We start from the raw sequence: 19,584 nt of genomic DNA on the forward strand, positions 1-19,584 counted from the left end.
GTGCATACAGAGACGGCACAAGAGACATGGTGACTGTGGAAAGGAAAGGAGGAAACTAAGGTTCGCATAGGAAAGCTTGGTGATCCTATGGCCGACACCTGGTTGGGCAATTGGAGGCTGGGGTCAGTCCAGGAGTAGCCCTGGCCAGAAATCCTCAGTTGCTCCAGGACCTCTTCCAGACCCATGCAATAGCAAAGTTGTGTGTGACAGAAAACTAGTTTGGACAGAGCCAACATTCCCAGCACCATGAGGGCACTGGGGATGGACTAAGTCCTCCCCAGCAAGCCTCACATTTGAGTCTTTTAAGACCGGCAGCTAGCCCTTGTGGCTCATTAATCAGCAGACAGATACCTTGTTTTTTTGATAGTTCTTTGAGAGAATAAAAACTGAGGATGAGAAGCCTCAGAAGTGAAAGTAGAGAGTCTGCTCCCTTACCCTTCTGATTAATTCACCTTCAAATCCTGGGCGAGCCCCCAAAATGAAGCAGCCTCATTGTCTGGGGTAAACACCAAGGTTCTTGGTCTCATGGCCAAGGAAATTGAGGTTGCAGACAAACCCACACAGAAACTGGAGCAGGAGTTTAACAGGTAAAAGGAAAGAACAGCTGTCAGAGAGGGGTCCCCAGTGGGTTTCCAGTAAAAATGTCAGGGTTTTTATACATGGGCTACTGAGGAAGGGGGCATCTTATCCTCCTAGGGCCTGAAGCTTTAGTTGGGACCAGGTGTGCTATCTGCATAGAGCATGAGTTTCTATCAGCCTTTACCTGATTCCTTGACAACCTAGGCAGACTCTTAATCTGTGTTGCTGTGTGCTGCTTTGTGTCACTTATTTGGGAGGGAGAGTTTCTGTGACTGTTCCCAGACATTTTTTTCCAGCTGCAGGTATCCCCCTCCAATATCCACTTCTGGCTTCCCTAGCTTAGTGTGCCTAAAGGAAAGGAATGTGCTTATTAAGGCCCACTGTTTTTACTGGGGCCCACTATATGAGTGTGAAGTTTGGTGATTACCCGGGAGACTCACCCCCTCCTTCTGTGCCCCAGTTGTTTATCTGTGTTTTACAGCCTCATCTTCTTACCTGTCCATGTGCAGCCTGAGTTTTTTCCAAGGTTGTTTTATTTTTTGCCTGTTGCTGTGTGACTTTTCAGGCAGGCTGCTTCTGCAGTCTGAATTTTTCCAATCATTTTTCCCTTTCCTTCTCCCTCAAAAACAAGTTAGGTAAGCTTCATTCAGGCATGAATTACAGTGCTATTGCCTGTTAGTTCAATGTTAATGAACCAACAATATATATTAAATGTACAATTAAATAGAAATACACAAAACTATGCATTGATCAATTGTTTAAAATGCTATGAACAGAGCCTTGCAGGAACCTAACTCTGTATTTCCCCTAGGAGCAATGATTAGTAACTAAAGTATGGGAACTTTATAGAACATAACTACCATGAATAATGAGAATTGACTGTACCTTAGTCTACAACCAGATTATAAATATCTTGAAGAATCTCTCATTCATCTTGTGTGTAACACGTAGTGCACTATAGTGCAACATGTAGTACAGTTAAATTCATTGACATTTTCTAAAAATTATTCCTTGATACCAGCGAATAGACCTACTTGTTTTCAGATTTATATGCCTTTACAGATATGTTTATTAGACACAAAGAGGGTTCATAGATGACCTAGGTCAAAGGCTAGAACATGCAGACATACTTTTAAGAACAATAAATTTAGAAATGCTTTGAAACAAATGACAACCACAGATATAAAAAAGTGCTTTTTAATTTTTAGCCAGAATGGTCAAGTTGATGTAGATTTTTTTTACTGGAATACTCATAATAATGTCTGTCTATATGCCTTAAGCAAGATTATTATTTAATAAAATATGGCAGGAAGTTGTAATTTATGGAAAATTTACAATTATTCTTTAAAATACTTTTATAAAATTATAAATTGATAATAATCCCCCCAAACTGAAGTGAAATACTTTTAATACTACTTGAAATTAAAGTACAGTTGTTTATACAACAATGAATAAGGACAAGATATCAAACTGAAAATTCAAAAATAAACAGAAGAAATGTAAACAGTTCTAAAATATCAGTATTTATAAATGTTGCTTAGAGGAAGGCTATTCAAAGCATGGTCCATTAACTATTTGTGAGCTGTCCAGAATGAAAGAGGCTTGTGCCAGAATGAAAATCAATTACATCACTAATCATACTGGCTCAGTTGACTTTTTTTAAATAACAAGACTTCTTTGATAAAGGAAGCAATGTGTTGATTTATATTCTGGCACAAGTACCTTATTACTGACTAGAGCAGGGGTCCCCAGTCCCCAGGCCACGACCGGGCTGCATAGAAGGTGGGGGGCGGTGCCAAGCATTACTGCCTGAGCTCAGTTTCCTGTTAGATCAGCCATGGCATTAGATTCTCAAAGGAGCTCGAATCCTGCTGTGAACCACACGTGCAAGAGATCTAGGTTGCATGCTCCTTATGAGAATCTAATGATAAATGTAATGTACTTGAATCATCCTGAAACCATCCCCCTAAACCCCCAGTCCTGTGGAAAAATTTTCTTCCACAAAACCCGTCCCTAGTGCCAAAACAGTTGGAGATCGCTCCACTAGAGAACAGTTAACGGCTTACTTCCTTTAAAGTGCCATTACAATTTCACTGCTCAGAGCTAGGTTCTTTACTGTAGGGAAAATAATTAAAATGACAATTGCAATTGTCATCTATATATCATCTATTTAAAAATCCCATCTATTTAGGGATCCTACCCAAAAAGCAAATTTAACTTTAAATTATCACAACATAACACTTATCTTCTCATGTGTTCAAGTGTTACTGACATTTGTCCACTCACAGGGGCTCTCTAGATTCCTACTTTAGAGAAATACATTATGCTTTTCAATCTTGGGAGAAAAAGAGTAAGAATTGAATCATTTGCTAAAAAGCTCTTAAATGATTGGTCTATTTTCATATTCCAATCAATAACGTTATTTAAATTCACACCTTTGTAAAAAGAGTGGATTTTTATATTCTTTGTGCAATCACTAGTTGCTTTTTTACTATAAAACTTAATATCAGGAAAAAAGGCATGGAAATTTACAGCTCTGTATTCTACTACTTAAAGGTAGATGTAAAGTATTTTAAGATTTTCAGACATTTGTAAAAATGTCTTTTAACAAATGAACTTATAATTTAAAATTCAAATATTTCTTGATTTTTTGGGGGATGGCATGATTCCTCTAAAAATTAAAAATATAATATGGTCTTCAGAAACATAATCATTTCATTATCCAATGACTTACTAAACTTTACTTGCATTATCTTAATACCAAAGGCAAGTAAATGGACAATCAACAATTTAGAAACAACTCATCAGTTTTAGATATACAAGGGCTCAATTTAGATTATACAACGTCTAGTTTATTGGACCAACAAACTACTTAAAGAATTTAAATGTCATAAGAAGAGAACATAAAGTCATATAAAGAATATAAATGTCATAATTTATATGTCATAAGAAAAGAGCTCCTGGGCGGGGGCGCAGTGGCTCACGCCTGTAATCCCAGCACTTTGGGAGGCCGAGGCGGGTGGATCACTTGAAGTCAGGAGTTTGTGACCAGCCTGGCCAACATGGTGAAACCCCGTCTCTACTAAAAATACAAAAATTAGCTGGGCACGGTGGCATGCGCCTGTAATCCCAACTACTCAGGAGGCTGAGACAGGAGAATTGCTTGAACCCGGGAGGCAGAGGTTGCCGTGAGCTGAGATCATGCCACTGCACTCCAGCCTGAGAGACAGAGCAAAACTCCATCTCAAAAAAAAAAAAAAAAAAAAAAAGCTCCTTTGGCACCTGAGTTGAGCACAATATACCACAGCAAAGAATCTTGAAAAGTGTCTAAAGAATGTATTGTATCTATCTATAGATATATACATACACCTGTACATACACACATGTGCACACATACACACACAAGTAGAGAAAACTTTTCCTTAACAAATGCTGAAGACATTAAAGGAATTCACCATGTGGTCAAATAAAGTGACCTGATAGTTATTCAAAAAGTTTTAAGTTATTATTAAAGAATTTGGAAACTTACCAAAATTTTGAGAAGTTAAAGGTCTAAAGGGGGAACATCAGGTTGTTGTTACCATTTGTCAAACTATTTCTTCTGATACAGCAACATGGTCATGAGATCACAGTTATCGTAACATGATAACAGACCAATATAACGGTCATCAGGTGAAAATTCATAAAAGATTACCCGAAAAGGACTAACTTTCCCCATCATTAGGGCTGGATATAGTCTCTAGCCATAAGCAAACATTTTGCTCTCCCTAGTCTCTTGCATTGGTCCCAGCAAAAGACCACAATGAGGGGCCACTCTGCAGATGGCTTTAAGCTGAGCCTCCTCACTCACTAGGAATTTCACACAAGAACTTCAGACGAGCCTGATGTCATGTTTTATGATCACATCAGTCTTGCTACCGCTGACTCGGGCACTGTGTTAATAGACCTACCGGTGCTGTAATTTTTTATGCATACTTTTAGAACTCTGAATGACTGGCTTGTATTCTAAGATGCAGAAGACATCTAAAATTCAGTAAGCTGTCTGAGTGTGTCAACATTTTCTTCTATATTCAATTAATAAATATGTTTGACTAAAAATACAGAATATTTAACTATACCTAAGTATCTTCTACTCTAGAAATTCTGGAGGATTAAAAAACTCTACACTTGCATACCAAATATCTCCATCTTCCAGACCTTATCAGATCTCAAGTAGGTTGGGAGGAGGAAAAAGACATTTGCGTTAAAATACGAAGGCATGCTACTCTTTCCTCTGCTCCAACTTGTAAAGAATATCCCTGATCAGGTTTCTAACTCCCTCTTTGCTCTAGTTAAAGGATCTCTCTCATATAACAGACCACAGAGAATGAAAATCTTACGAAGTTTCAAAATATTTGTAATTGAAAGACATTTTCAATTGTAAAATGTCTCTTGAGCATCTATAAAGTAGAAATTATTTTGGCTTAAACTTCATACTGCTTTCCTAAACAAATTATGTTGATAGAGGCATGGTATAAGAGTCACCTTAGAGAGAGAACCTATTAAATTCCAATGTCTTCACTGTGTTCAGTTTACACCAACTATAATAAAACTCAAGCCACTTTTTTTGTTGATATGCAAAACATTCTGGTAAGTTCATTTGAAGTTGAATTATTTCATTAACATGTAAACTCACATGTACAATTTTACTTTTTGTCATATATTTAAATATTTTCTTATCTGCAGAGCTATCTCAGGATATGAAATCATAACATGCTAGCAACTAGTAATTTAACATTAAAACACTTCCCTAAATTATTCCATGGAAAAGTGCATTTACAATATAAACATGTCATATATGAAGCTACAAATCATAATCTCACTGGAGTGGATATAAAATTTCAAATTCAGTCCAAATGAGTCAAAGAAAAAAGTGCTAACAGAGCAAATCTGAAACAAGTTCATGGGGATTGGGTAATGAGTCATCGAAACGAAATCTTTTGGAAACCATGCTGCTATCCTCTGGGATATTCTCTTTGTCTTCTCTATCACCACAGGTTCCATTACAGGAGGATTTAGAAGTCTTGTCTTCAGAGGACCTTACAGAATGATCCTGAGTTTGAGAGGAACTGGAAGTTTCTTCAGGGTGAAACAAGTTTTCAAAGTCCCACTGCTGTAGCCAAGAATGAGAAAGGCATATCTCTGCTGTTGGTCTTTTCCTTTGAAAGAAAGCACCAAGGGAAAATTGAGAACTAAAAATCAAGTTGAAAATGTCTTCAGTTTGATAGATTATAGACATATTTTTTACTTCTTGTGAAAATAAAACATACTCATAGTATAAAATCCAAACAGTACAGAAGAGAATAATAATGATAATAGCTGCTAACATTTACTGAATGCTTAGTTATATGCCAGGGACTATTCTATACGCTTCAAATACATTATTTAACAATCATAACAAACTCATGAAATGGGTACTATTATTACCCTCATTTAACAGATATGCAAAGTAGGGTACCAGGAGGCTTGAAATTTACCCCAAATCTCCTAACTTGTAAATGGTAGTTAAGTGGAACTTTGACTCTATCGTCTGTGCTTTTAAGCATTACACCATATTATCTCTCATGAAGATAAAAAGTAAAATTGTTTTCTCATTCCCCAATCCCACTTCCAGATATTTTTTCTACATATATGTGCATATACATACACAAACATATACACACACATACACATACACAGCTTCACATACTCCATGTTTCTGCAATTTGCTTTATTACTCAATAATGCATCTCAAGCATTTTTCCACATCAGTACAGAGTTAACATATTTATTAACAGCTGTATTATTTAGTACTCTTCCATATGGATACACCATAATTTATTTAACCAGATGCCCATTGAAGCTTCTAGCATTTTGCTATTATAAATATGCTTCAATGAATATTGAGAAAATGTTTTTTGGGATCTTCTCTAATTATGTTCATAGGATGAGTTACTAGTAAAGCTAGTGGGTCTTTATATTTTGAAAGACGGTGCTTAACTAACCTCCAAATCACTTTTGGTTTTTTTTTGGTTTTTTTTTTTGCAATGTAGTCTCACTCTGTCACCCAGGCTGGAGTGCAGTGGTGCGATCTCAGCTCACCACAACCTCTGCTTTCTGGGTTCAAGCAATTCTCCTGCCTCAGCCTCCTGAGTAGCTGGAACTATAGGTGCATGCCACCATGCCCGGCTAACTTTTGTATTTTTAGTAGAGATGGTGTTTCACTATATTGGCCAGGCTAGTCTCGAACTCCTGACCTCATGATCTGGCCGCCTTGGCCTCCCAAAGTGCTGGGAATACAGGCGTGAGCCACCTCGCTCAGCTGACTCGCTTCTTTTGTAAGGTTGTCAAAGGGCATCCAATCCTTCAAGATTTCACAATCAGTAAATGATACTTGTTATGTATGTAAAATTATTTTATTTTATTTATTTTTTTGAGACGGAGTCTTGCTCTGTCATCTAGGCTAGAGTGCAGTGGCGCGATCTCTGCTTACTGGAAGCTCTGCCTCCCGGATTCACGCCATTCTGCCTCAGCCTCCCAAGTAGCTGGGACTACAGATGCCTGCCACCATGCCTGGCTAATTTTTTTGTATTTTTAGTAGAGATGGGGTTTCACCGTGTTAGCCAGGAGGGTCTCAATCTCCTGACCTCGTGATCCATCTGCCTCAGCCTCCCAAAGTGCTGGGATTACAGGCGTGAGCCACCGCGCCCGGCCGTAAAATCATTAAACTGTAAATCATTTACAATAAAGTCTTATCATAACCAGCCATGTGTATTGTAAATTTCTATGACTAATTATTTTAGGTAATTTCAGGGATTAGTAGTGGTTTGTGAGAGAAGTAACTCAAATCTTTTCTTTACTTCAAAATCCCCTGTTGTATATTTTATATCTGAAGTTATGTATTTGTTAATGATTGCTCATACCACCTATTTTACCTAGAACTTGTACATATTTCTAATAATTTTATACTATTTTAGAATATACTTTCTTAATAGGTATATATTATTTATTCTGTAATAGTATTTAAACAAATTAAATTTGTAATAGTATTTAAACAAATTATTACTTACTCTGGATTTTTTACTAAAAGGCTCTGAATAAAGTCTGTGGCCAGCTGTGAAACTGATGAAAAAGTTTCTTCCGAATAATCTACATTAACTTGAGAAATATTGAGGTATGTTTCTTGATTATCTTCTCCCACAAATGGTGATGTGTGAGTTAACAACATATATGCTATTATACCAATATTCCTGAAAAACAAGGGAGGGGAACTTAAAATGTATGTTAATTTTTAAACATTTATACAAAGTACAATCGACATTCAACATACTCCTCTCCTCAAAACTGGTACGGTTAAACTACAGATTTACATTGCTTTTCAAAGTTCCTATATTATTAAAACTAAAATAATGATCTCAAAGTGTGCCTCACAGAAAGAGAACACAAGGGAATGCACGTGTTATATAAATACAATGTATTCAATATATATTATTGCTACCGTCTATCCTTCACACAGATACCTGCCGTGGAGTACACAAAGCTGCTGCAGCATTTCCTAAGTGGTTTCCAATGGCAAAGTAATGACTTGTGAGATGTAAAGAGAGGTTCTGCACAAATAGAGGCTGCAAGTTTGGCGAAGCACAAAGCTGGGCAGGCAAATTTTTTCACTGCAAACCTTTTAAAATCTGTAAATGTGTTAATGGCAAGTCTGGTGCCCAGGAGCCAGAAAAAGACAATATAGTACATGTTTCACCAACTTATTTAGCCATACCATCTTTTTTCCTGGGCAAACCCATGAGCAGTTCCACAGAACACAGAACAGGTCTAAACCTTCCACTTGGTCTGAGGAGTCAGTCCCCTTTGTGGTCTCAACTGAAGCTCCAGTATCAGTTCTGGTTCTATTCCCTATGGTATTCTCTCTTGGCTAGCTACAAAAACTCATAATTTCCCAGAGATGTACTCTCATAAAAGTACATTTTTGGGTGGGCCTGACCTAATTATTCTGCTTAACAAATACCTTCTTCTAGCTTTTTTTTTTTTTTTTTTTTTTTGTCACCCAGGCTAGAGTGCAATAGCATGATCTTGGCTCACTGCAACCTCTGCCTCCCTGGTTCAAGTGATTCTCCTGCCTCAGCATCCTGAGTAGCTGGGATTACAGGTACGCGCCACCACGTCCAGCTAATTTTCATATTTTTAGTAGAGATAGGGTTCTGCTATGTTGGCCAGGCTGGTCTCTAACTCCTGACCTGATGATCCACCTGCCTTGGCCTCCCAAAGTGCTGGGATTACAGGTGTAAGCCACCACGCCCGGCCAACTCTTTTAGACCTAGATCAGATGTCTCCCTTTGTGAGGTGGAGCCCGGCAATGGACTGTCTGCTGCTGCTTCTATGCTTATTAAGCATTTCACCTTCATCATAAAATATGTAGCAATGTACTGCAAGTATTTTGTTCTTTTACTCAACTGAGTTTTCATCACAGAGAGAGATTTTCCTATTAATTTCTGTACTTTTGGCTCAGAAGTTAAGTGTTATTTAAAAATAATGGAAAGGTAAATATTTTCCTGTAGCATAATAATGATATTCAAATAAAATCTTTTGAAGAAAGCCTTATTATTTATTACTCTTGGAGTCAAAGAACCCCAGAATATACGTTTCCCAACTTTCCATAAAGATGTTTAAGGTAACTAACAACATCTTACCACATATCTGTTGCTGTGGTAATGGGATCATAGTTCAGGATTTCTGGAGCTGAAAGAAAAGATAAAACTTAAATTCAATATTGACAAATTTTAAAACAAGAAAATCACTTTATATTACGTTATAACTGGGACTGGGCATGATGGCTCATGCCTGTAATCTCAGCACTTTGGGAGGCTGAGGCAGGCAGATCACCTGAGATCACAGTTCGAGACCAGCCTGGCTAACATGGTGAAACGCTGTCTCTACTAAAAATACAAAAATTAGCCAGGTGTGATGGCACATGCCTGTAATCCCAGCTACTCAGGAGGCTGAGGCAGGAGAATCCCTTGAACCCGGGAGGCATAGGTTGCAGTGAGCTGAGATCCCACCACTGCACTCTAGCCTGGGCAAGAGTGAGACTCTGTCTCGGAAAAAATAAAAATTGTAACTGGATTTAATTTTGGAAAGCCTAGTGATATAAGACGATAGAAATTTAGAAATTTAGCACAGTATTAATTATCCTATGATTGGACATTTAAACATCCCTATTATTGAGTAAATTATATGATCAGGTGGTTCAAAAACATGGATAATATTCTTGGAGTAATTAGTGGCTAGGTAGTTAAACTCATTTAGGTTAATCTCAGAAAAAAACAATTATAAAAAAGTAAAACTCTGGAAGCTAGAATTTAAAAAAAAAATTAGTTTTATTACTTTAGAATTAATTTGCATTATTTTCTTAGATTAATTTAGGTTTTTCTTTTGGGGTAAATAGGATCATGTGCATCTGCAATGACATCATGAGCAAATTTTGCTTCTCGGAAATGCTAGATTTTCTTTTTTCTGACGGAGTTTCGCTCTTGTTGCCCAGGCTGGAGTACAAATGGCATGATGATCTTGGCTCACTGCAACCTCCACCTCTTGGATTCAAGCGATTCTCCTGCCTCAGCCTCCCAAGTAGGTGGGACTACAGGCATGCACCACCACACCTGGCTAATTTTGTATTTTTAGTAGAGATGGGGTTTCACCATGTTGGTCAGGCTGGTCTCGAACTCCTGACTTCAAGTGATCCACTCGCCTTGGCCTCCCAAAGTGCTGGGATTACAAGTGTGAGCCACTGCACCCAGCCAGAAATGCTAGATTTTCCAGTGAATTAAACATTCCTCTTAAATTATCAAGGACCTAATTTCCAAAGCAATTAATTTTCTGCTGTCTTCACTTGCCAAAAAAAAAAGTGCAAAATAAATTCTCTATGCTTTCTAAACATTACCATATTATTTCGAATTAGTACAGTCCAAACTAGGATTTATGAGTGAAAAATAAGTTTCTTGTTTCACAATATGGTTTCATAATTTCTCCAAAGAGAAACTGTTTCCTAAAGCCTAACATTTTTATTAATAAAGCCTTTAAATCATATACAGTCAGCTTCTGTTAAACCACCTACATTTTCACATACTTCTGTGAGCTGTGTTACCAATAATTACATTCATTTATTCTAGGACTATAGCCCCAGTTAGCATTCAAAAGTTAGTAATTTTCTCTGCTTTTTATTTTTGGAAAAGACAGCTGCCTAGCTGAGTCGCATCTGTTCTGTTTAACTGTATCTTTTCAATGTCCACATGGGGACATCAGTATAAACAATAAACAGAAAAAAGAAAAAAGATTATAAGTTAAAATACTTCAAATTTATATACTGCTTCATACAACTTAAAAACCTTTCATATGCATAATCTAATTTGTTGATTTCACACAATATGCCCAGATTACCTAATCAAAGGTTCTTTTTGGCACTCTTCTTCAAAACCCTACTTTCACAACCCTATGCAAAACCTCATATTCTAAAGCAGCAGCAATAAACAAAAATGAGGTGGCCGGCTAACAATTCCTGTAAGTTTAAACTGAAGATATCTGTATTGTGAACAGCTCTGGAATTGGGACCAGAAATAGAAGTGAGATCTAGCCAACAGCCAGGCTTCAAAGACAATCATGGGCCACTTCACTGCAGCAGTTTTTCTTTTTCCATTTTTCTCTTTTTCCCTAACTTCCCTCTTACCCATTTCTTTTTTCCTTATGTACAAATCCTTTATACACAAACATTCAACTTGTACACTTACATATTCAGTGTCCCCTGAATTGCTGTAAATGTTTCATACTTTTATTCATTTCATTTAAATGTGTCTTAACCTAACCAAGTTTTAATGTATCAAAATACTTGAACCAATCAAATCCTTTTAACTGAATCGAATTACATGCTCTAAAATATAGTTCTACAGAGGTATCATTTACTTAATAAATTTCAAAATGGTATAGAAAATAAAAGGAAATTCTTACCTAAATATTCTGGTGTTCCCATGATTTCCCGAAGTTCACACGCATGCCCTATTTTTCGAGACATTCCAAAATCTACTATTTTAATGTCCCCGAGAGGGTATATGCTGCTCAGTAATATATTCTGTGGCTAAACAAAGTACAACAAAAACATGATAAGTAATATACAAAAAAGCATACTAGTCTCAGATGGAAAGTATATTAAGTGGAAGATATTGCTCAGCTATTATACATTTCATTGAGTCATGCATCAAACATTTACTGACTTACTACTTAGGCGGAGCTATTATTCAATGATGCATAAAGCCAAAAACACACCCAAAAAGGATTCTAGGTTTGAAGAGAAAAGAAGTTAAATGGAAAGATTAAGATATAGAATACTCAGTAATAAAAAGACTGCCTCATTCTGTCAATAAGAAATTCCAAGAAGGCTTTGCAGTAGAGATGATGCGTAAGCTGAGACTTAAAAGAGTATGCTGGTTAGAAAGGTGCTCTGGGTAGCTGGGTACGGTGGTGTCAACCTGTAGTCTCAGCTACTCTGGAGGCAGGGGTGGGAGGATCGTTTGAGCTCAGGAGTTCAAGAGTAGCCTGTGCAACATAGTGAGACCCTCTCTTAAATAAAAAAAAAATTAAAAAATTAAAAAAAAAAAGAGGCCGGGCATGGTGGCTCACGCCTGTAATCCCAGGACTTTGGGAGGCTGAGGTAGGCAGATCACGAGGTCAGGAGATCAAGACCATCCTGGCTAACATGGTGAAACCCCGCCTCTACTAAAAATACAAAAAAATCAGGCGTGGTGGCAGGCACCTGTAGTCCCAGCTACTTGGGAGGCTGAGGCAGAAGAATGGCGTGAACCCGGGAGGTGGAGCTTGCAGTGAGCCAAGATCGCACCACTGCAATTCAGCCTGGGCGACAGAGCGAGACTCTGTCTCAAAAAAAAAAAAAAAAAAAAAAAAAAAAAAAAAAAAAAAGAACAACAGAAAGGTGCTCTGGGGAACAGCACAAAAGAAGGCATAAAGGAATGAGAACGTAAACATTTCCAGAAATGAAAAATGGTTCAGTACAATGGGATGATTCTGGATGAGCCAGGTCTGACTGTTCCCTGGCTTTAGCTTAGACAATAAGAGGGCATAGTACACCTCATCCATTGCCTCCTAAAACCACGTGACTTTGCTTTACTACTACTGCAGGCCCACGGCCTATTACAAAGTCCCCTGCTGCTGTCATAACCCATACCTCTGCCAAGGTGCTGCTCCCAAAATCTGTGCAAAGAATTATAACAGTCGCTTAACTTTGGGGCAATCTCATGCTTGTTTATTACTAAAGCACAGAGCCTATTACAGGAGAAAAGGTAAAGGTAATTAGCTCTGTTGTTGTCAACCACAGGTTTATATGCCATCCCACTTCAAGGGCTATGTGATGCTATGTAATGTACTTGGGTTGATGTTAGCAGGAAAATGACCCAACAGGAAGCTGGTGGGAGCGTGATTATCTTGGCATTTACTGTGTTGCTTCTTTTCCAATATTTTATCAGTTGGGGAAATAGCAGGGATACTAGATGGTAAATACTGTCCCCCTGCTCCATAGTGGGGCCCAAAACAGAACTACAGGGTTTTTTCTTTTGAAAAAGCGGTAAGAGGATTTGGAAATTAAGGGAGAGGCCTGGGCTGTAGGTGGAGATTTTTGAATTATTATTATTATTAAAGTGGTAATAGAAGCCAAAGGGTCATGCAAGGACACCATATAAAAACAGAAGAATCTAATGCTCAAAAAATGAGACACAGACTGATTCAGATCTTAAGGTCCTTGTGTGGTTATGAAAGAAGGATAAGGAGAAAGGATAACAACATGAGAGATGGAGATAAGAGACTGGAGGTTCGGGGCTTGGGTAAAGAGCCTGAACGATCTGGAAGAAGCCAAAAGACTGAAAACCTCAAGACAAAAATGAATGAAGGTAATAGGAGCAAATGCATGAGGATTAGCAGGATTTATTTTCAGAGATGGAGATTACACAATTGAGCATTTCAGAGATAGACAGCATTTTAAAATAAGAAGGTCCAGGATGTGGTTGTAAGAGTGGGATGGAATGGAATAATTCCATCTAATGTAGGATTAGAACACAGGAATGATGCATTTTAAGAGCCCAGTAATTTGAGCTGCTTACACATGCACTCTTCTCCTTTCTGCCAATATAAAATTAAGGCCACATAGGCACACGTAAGCAAAGAGCACACCAGTGCAGTCTAGAAGACCAGGAACCAACCATTGTTTCCTGTTAATACCAGTTTGCAACTGTGCATACTAAGAGCAGAAGAAGAACACAGATGTTGCATTACTTTAAATCACGTTACGTTACCTTTAAATCAAGGTGTACAATGTTATTCTGATGTAGATAATAAACTCCTTCAAGTATTTGTTTAATGAGTCTGATAACATCATTTTCAGAAACCATTTCAGCCAACTCAGGTAAACACAGGCTGAAAATTTCTCCACCTGCAGCACTAAAATAAAATTCAAAGAACAGAGACTTGAAAATTCATTCACCTAAACACTTTTAAATATTGTGTACCTGTTAAGTAAAAGACATACAACTATATAAATGTTAATACGTTACACTTAAAAATAGGGCAGGGAAGTGAGAGATCTTTAAGGAAAAAAATAAGTGATGATGGCTGGGTGCGGTGGCTCATGTCTGTAATACCAGCACTTTGGGAGGCTGAGATAGGCGAATCACTGAAGGTTGGGAGTTCGAGATCAGCTTGGCCAACATGGTGAAACATCTCTACTAAAAACACAAAAATTAGCTGGGTGTGATGGCAGGTGCCTATAATCTCAGCTACTTGGGAAGCTGAGGCAGGAGAATCACTTGAACCTGGGAGGCAAAGGTTGCAGTGAGCCGAGATGGCACCACTGCATTCCAGCCTGAGCTACAGAGCAAGACTCCGTCCCCAAAAAAAAGAAAAAAGAAAATAAGTGATGAGACTATTTCAAATTCTGGGTACTAATACTTGAATATTAATAAATAAAACTGAATTGCTTTATGATCCAATAATGTTGCAGCCTGCCTTCACTGCAATAAAGATAATAAAAATAGTAGCTCTTTGTGCTCTCCTCATATATGTACATCTATATGTATTCATATATATACATATGTTTTCATATATATGAATTCTTATATATATATCATCTATTTTGAGCCTCATGACAAACATGTGAGGTACATGGTTACTACACCCATTTTACAGTAGAAACAAGTACAATTAGGTTAACAAACTTGAATATGAGTAAGAATCTGCATTCTTAGCCAATACCATCTTGTACTGTAGCTTCATGCAGAATACTTGGGGCCAGAACACAAATAAATAAATAAATAAATTCTAAAGAACTGAAATTTAAAGAATGCTGAAAAAGGCACAGTGAAAAATTCCTAGGTTTGGAATGAATTATCGAAACATAAATCCTAACTCTTCTATTTACCTGCAATATAACTTAGGGTCAGTTACTTATAGTCATCCATAAAGCAGAAATATCAATAAAATCCACAGATTTTTTTAGGAGGGATTAAATCTAAATAAGATAAAATTAGAACATCATGCAAAAACATTTATACAGTTATTCATCAAATTTGTAAGGTATATTTGGGAATACACAAGTATATTCTATTTGATAAAATAGTAACTCACTCTGGAAAATACTATTACTCTATTTTTACTTCTTTGGCTCACTGCTACAACCACATCAAGAACAGTATCTAGCATGCACTGCAGTAGGTGGTCAGTAATGTTTGTTGAATGAATGAATGATGGAATGGGCAGCGATTCTTTAGAGGGGTTGAAGCTGGGGATTCAGAAGTCTCAGTGACTGCCAAGAGGAAAAAATATGTCATAAGTGTTAGGAGCCATAAGAAGAAAAAATAATGGTGGGCTCAAATTTCAGTCCCAAGTTGAAAGTCACAAGGACTGACACTTCACACTCTAGATATAATTTGCAATTGAGCAATCTAAACACAGTAAGCCAGTTAGAAGCCGCAAACATATGGTGCTTTACACTTTCTGACTTTGCAGAAAAAAACTCTGTAGGACAGCTTATAAGGAATACACGTGAAAGCTCCAATCACATATATGTCACTTTAACCCCATTACACTCACCAAAACTTGCTGTAAATTCATGAGACATAATATATTTTTTTTTTTTTTGAGATGGAGTTTCACTCTGTTGCCAGGCTGGAGTGCAGTGGCGCCATCTCGGCTCACTGCAACCTCCACCTCCTGGGTTCAAGAGATTCTCCTGCCTCAGCCTCCCGAGTAGCTGGGACTACAGGTGCATGCCACCACGCCCGGCTAATTTTTGTATTTATTAGAGATAAGGTTTCGCCATGTTGGCCAGGATGGTCTCGATCTCTTGACCTCGTGATCTGCCCATCTTGGCCTCCCAAAGTGTTGGGATTACAGGTGTGAGCCATCGTGCCTGGCCGAGACATTAATTTTAATATCTACCTCAACATATCATGATAAAGATAATCTGAGTATTGAAAAGTGTAGTTTGCTATTAAATTTATAGTAGTGAACTCCAAAATAAGGTATAGAAAGACAATTTTGGGAATTCACATTTTCTTAATCTAAAAAAAGAAATACACTAATCTTCAAGAATAATTAATATACACACTGCCTAGCGGCCCTTGGTCTGCATGTCAGTATTCATTTCTCACACCCCTTCTCAAGGTCTCCTGAGGGCAGAGTGGGAATCCAGGCACAGACTGGCAGTGACACCATCACTCCTTCCCTTTCCGGCTACACTGTTTAGTTTCAATGATACAAATCGTCTCAAAACAGAAAGTGGTCTAAATATATTCCTGCAAAGACAGTCAAAATAATATTACAAATAATATTATATTAGGTAATAGTACTAATGCAATCATAAGCAAATAAGAAAATGAAGAAAGAACACTTTAGATTCTCTTAGAATATATTTTTTGTTAGGTACTTTACAAGATATAAATACTGATAATCTAGTCCTATCTTATAAAAATCAGACCAAATAACTTGAAATTATTAGAAAACAGTATAAAATATGAATTTACATATTTACACCCCCTAAATATATAAAAAATAGATGTGTATTCTTCATTTGTACAGCAACATAAATTGTTTAGGTAAGACATTTATTCTTGAATACTTTATGATTATTTACCAACATTTTATATTACAAATTCGTTAAAGTTACTTCAATAACCAGAACACTCCACCAATTCTAAAATTAAAAACAAAATACAAGAAAGTAAAGTGAAAGTATGGAAAGCAATTCCCAGTGCCTAGGAAGAGACAGGATAGCATGGTGCATATAGGAGTGCTTACTGAAATCAAGACTGCCTGGGTTTCACTCTAGCTCTGTCACTAACTAGGCTAGGTGAACTGGGACAAAATGTGCCTCTGTTTCTTCTACTGTAATGTGAATAATAGAATAGCTCCTACTTCATGGTCTAAGAATTAAATTGGATAATCCACATAAAGTATTGAGCACAAACATCCTAGAAGAATCAAAGCAGATCGTTTCAATAAATACTTATCACAGTGTCTGACACACGGTAAATATTCAATAGATAACAGCTATTTTTTTTTTTTTTTCCTGAGACTGAGTCTTGCTCTGTCGCCCAGGCTGGAGTGCAGTAGTGCAATCTCTACTCACCGCAACCTCCCCGTCCTGGGTTCAAGCAATTCTCCTGCCTCAGTCTCCCGAGTTGCTAGGACTACAGGCGCGTGGCACCACACCCGGCTAATTTTTTGTATTTTTTAGTGGAGACTGGGTTTCACCGTGTTAGCCAGGATGGTCTCCATCTCCTGACCTCGTGATCCGCCCGCCTCGGCCTCCCAAAGTGCTGTGATTACAGGCATGAGCCACTGGGCCCAGCCAATATCAGCTATTATAATGAGCCAACAAACATTAATTGCAAATCTAGCCAACATCTCGCCTTTCCAAATTTTGGGACTTTTTGTTGAACTCTGATTTTGAAGGAAATTTTTAAAGTCTTTGCTAAATTAAAATCTATTTTTAGAAACACTATATGGTACATATAAAGATGCACACACTATATTCTTAAGTGAAAAAGGAGAGTTACAATAGAATATGCCCAGTAGATCAAAATGTTGTCTCTAAAAGTACATACGCACAGACCAAAAAATAAGAATAATTTTTAAATACAGGAACATATCATAAAGTAACCATCATTTACATGTGATTTCCCTTTTCTGTATCTCCTAAATTTAACACAATGAATGGGTGTTACTTTTATAATCAGGGAAAGTATCCTCAGAGTTTTTTGCTTGTTTTAATAATAAGATCAAATAAAATACTATGATTGTCAGCCAATCACACTGTCTCTTCCTTTTAGTTTGACAAGCTGACCAATGTATTTCGTAGGACTGCCATTTCTCACACAACAGAGGAACATAGGTGGAGCTACAGAAAATACGAAAATTAGGAAGACTTAAGAGGAGGGAAAGAACTGATAACACAAGCAGCAAATTGCAGAAGTTGGCAGAAATTGGAAAAAGAAACAGAAGCAGTGAGTAGCAAACAAGACTTCTGTTAAGGAAACCACCCTGAGCAGTCACCCAGAGCAGTGACTAAAAAAAAAAAAAAAAAAAAAAAAGACAAAAAAGAAAAAGAAAAATATCTACAGTCAGAAAAGCCGCCTATATCATTATCATTGACCTGGGAGATAAATCAGGTGACTTCTGCTCTTTCTCTCTAAAAAGAGTTTGTCCCTTGCAGGGATATCAACAAAAGAAATTTAGAAATTCAGCATCTATGTTCACTTGCTAATGCATATATACATGTGCTATGTGTGAGAATACGTGATAAGAGTACTTTAGCACAGGTTACACAGTCATGAAAACCTATGTGCTATATATTATCTAGCTCTACATCTGTCTTTTATAGGGAACAGCAAGTAGAGAAGATCTTTTAGAAATATTCCTATAACATAAAGTTAATACATGAAAGATTAAAATCAGAATATTTTCCTATCAAAAATGATAGATTTCTGTGAGTTATAGAGAGCCAAGATTTTCAGTAAAACAAAGTAATATCTCAATTACCCATAAAATGCAAATCTAGTCATATAGCTTTGAAAAGCCATGGTAAAGATTTTTAAAATAAGCATTTATTTCCAGTGATCAAAACGAACTTGTTTTAAAATTTGAATATTAAGAGTCTCTTTAAAATTATATTCCTATGCTAATGGGAGAAACAAAGTCCATGGGATTTTAGAATGGAAAGACATTAGAATATTAACTAGACATATGATGTGAATACCAATCTCCCTTTTTGGAGGATTGTTTTAAAAATCAAATGAGAATACAGATAACGTGCCTATCACAGTGCCTGCCAGAGTGTAAATGTTCAACATACGTTATGGTTGAAATTGTTAAGATCATATTAAAATGTTATTTCTCTGGTGATTGAGATCATTCCAGAAGGTAAGGCTTTCTGTTTTGCATGTTTTGTTACAGTCTCCATCCTTTTCTGTTGGGTACTTAATATTTACTTAGAGATGTTTAGTAGACAAAATTTCTTGACAAAAAGAAAATAGCATTCTCACATAATCTCAGAGTTGTCTCTGATGAATGTAAGTTCCCCTTTTGATTTTCACTATTTCTAGGACAAAGTTTTTGTTCTGTGTTCTCCAAAAGGTAAGTTTTTTTTTTTTGAGACGACTCTCGCTCTGTCGCCCAGACTGGGGTGCAGTGGTGTGATCTCGGCTCACTGCAAGCTCCGCCTCCTGGGTTCACACCACTCTCCTGCCTCAGCCTCCCGAGTAGCTGGGACTACAGGCACCTGGCTAATTTTCTGTATTTTTAGTAGAGATGGGGTTTCACTGTGTTAGCCAGGATGGTCTCGATCTCCTGACCTCGAGATCCGCCCACCTTGGCCTCCCAAAGTGCTGGGATTACAGGTGTGAGCCACCGTGTCCAGCCAAAGGT

General features: G+C 37.3%; 1 protein-coding gene across 7 annotated transcripts in view; it reads right to left on the reverse strand.

The window, feature by feature from the left end:
* Positions 1 to 1,630: 1,630 nt before the first annotated feature.
* Positions 1,631 to 19,584, reverse strand: part of STK17B (serine/threonine kinase 17b) — a 42,901-nt gene continuing 24,947 nt past the window's right edge. For 6 of the 7 annotated variants that reach the window (XM_011512169.2, XM_011512170.2, NM_004226.4 and 3 more), the window contains 5 exons: positions 13,959 to 14,103; positions 11,608 to 11,734; positions 9,297 to 9,345; positions 7,668 to 7,847; positions 1,631 to 5,777 (listed from right to left, as the gene is read on the reverse strand). In XM_011512169.2, the coding sequence (XP_011510471.1) occupies positions 5,495 to 5,777; positions 7,668 to 7,847; positions 9,297 to 9,345; positions 11,608 to 11,734; positions 13,959 to 14,103 (784 nt within the window). In that variant the 3' untranslated portion in view covers positions 1,631 to 5,494. Of the gene's footprint in view, positions 5,778 to 7,667; positions 7,848 to 9,296; positions 9,346 to 11,607; positions 11,735 to 13,958; positions 14,104 to 15,285; positions 15,464 to 19,584 lie in introns of all 7 variants that reach the window. The other variant, XM_047446335.1, reaches the window with a different exon arrangement.

The sequence above is a fragment of the Homo sapiens genome, chromosome 2 (assembly GCF_000001405.40).
Source record: "Homo sapiens chromosome 2, GRCh38.p14 Primary Assembly".
Lineage (NCBI taxonomy): Eukaryota > Metazoa > Chordata > Mammalia > Primates > Hominidae > Homo > Homo sapiens.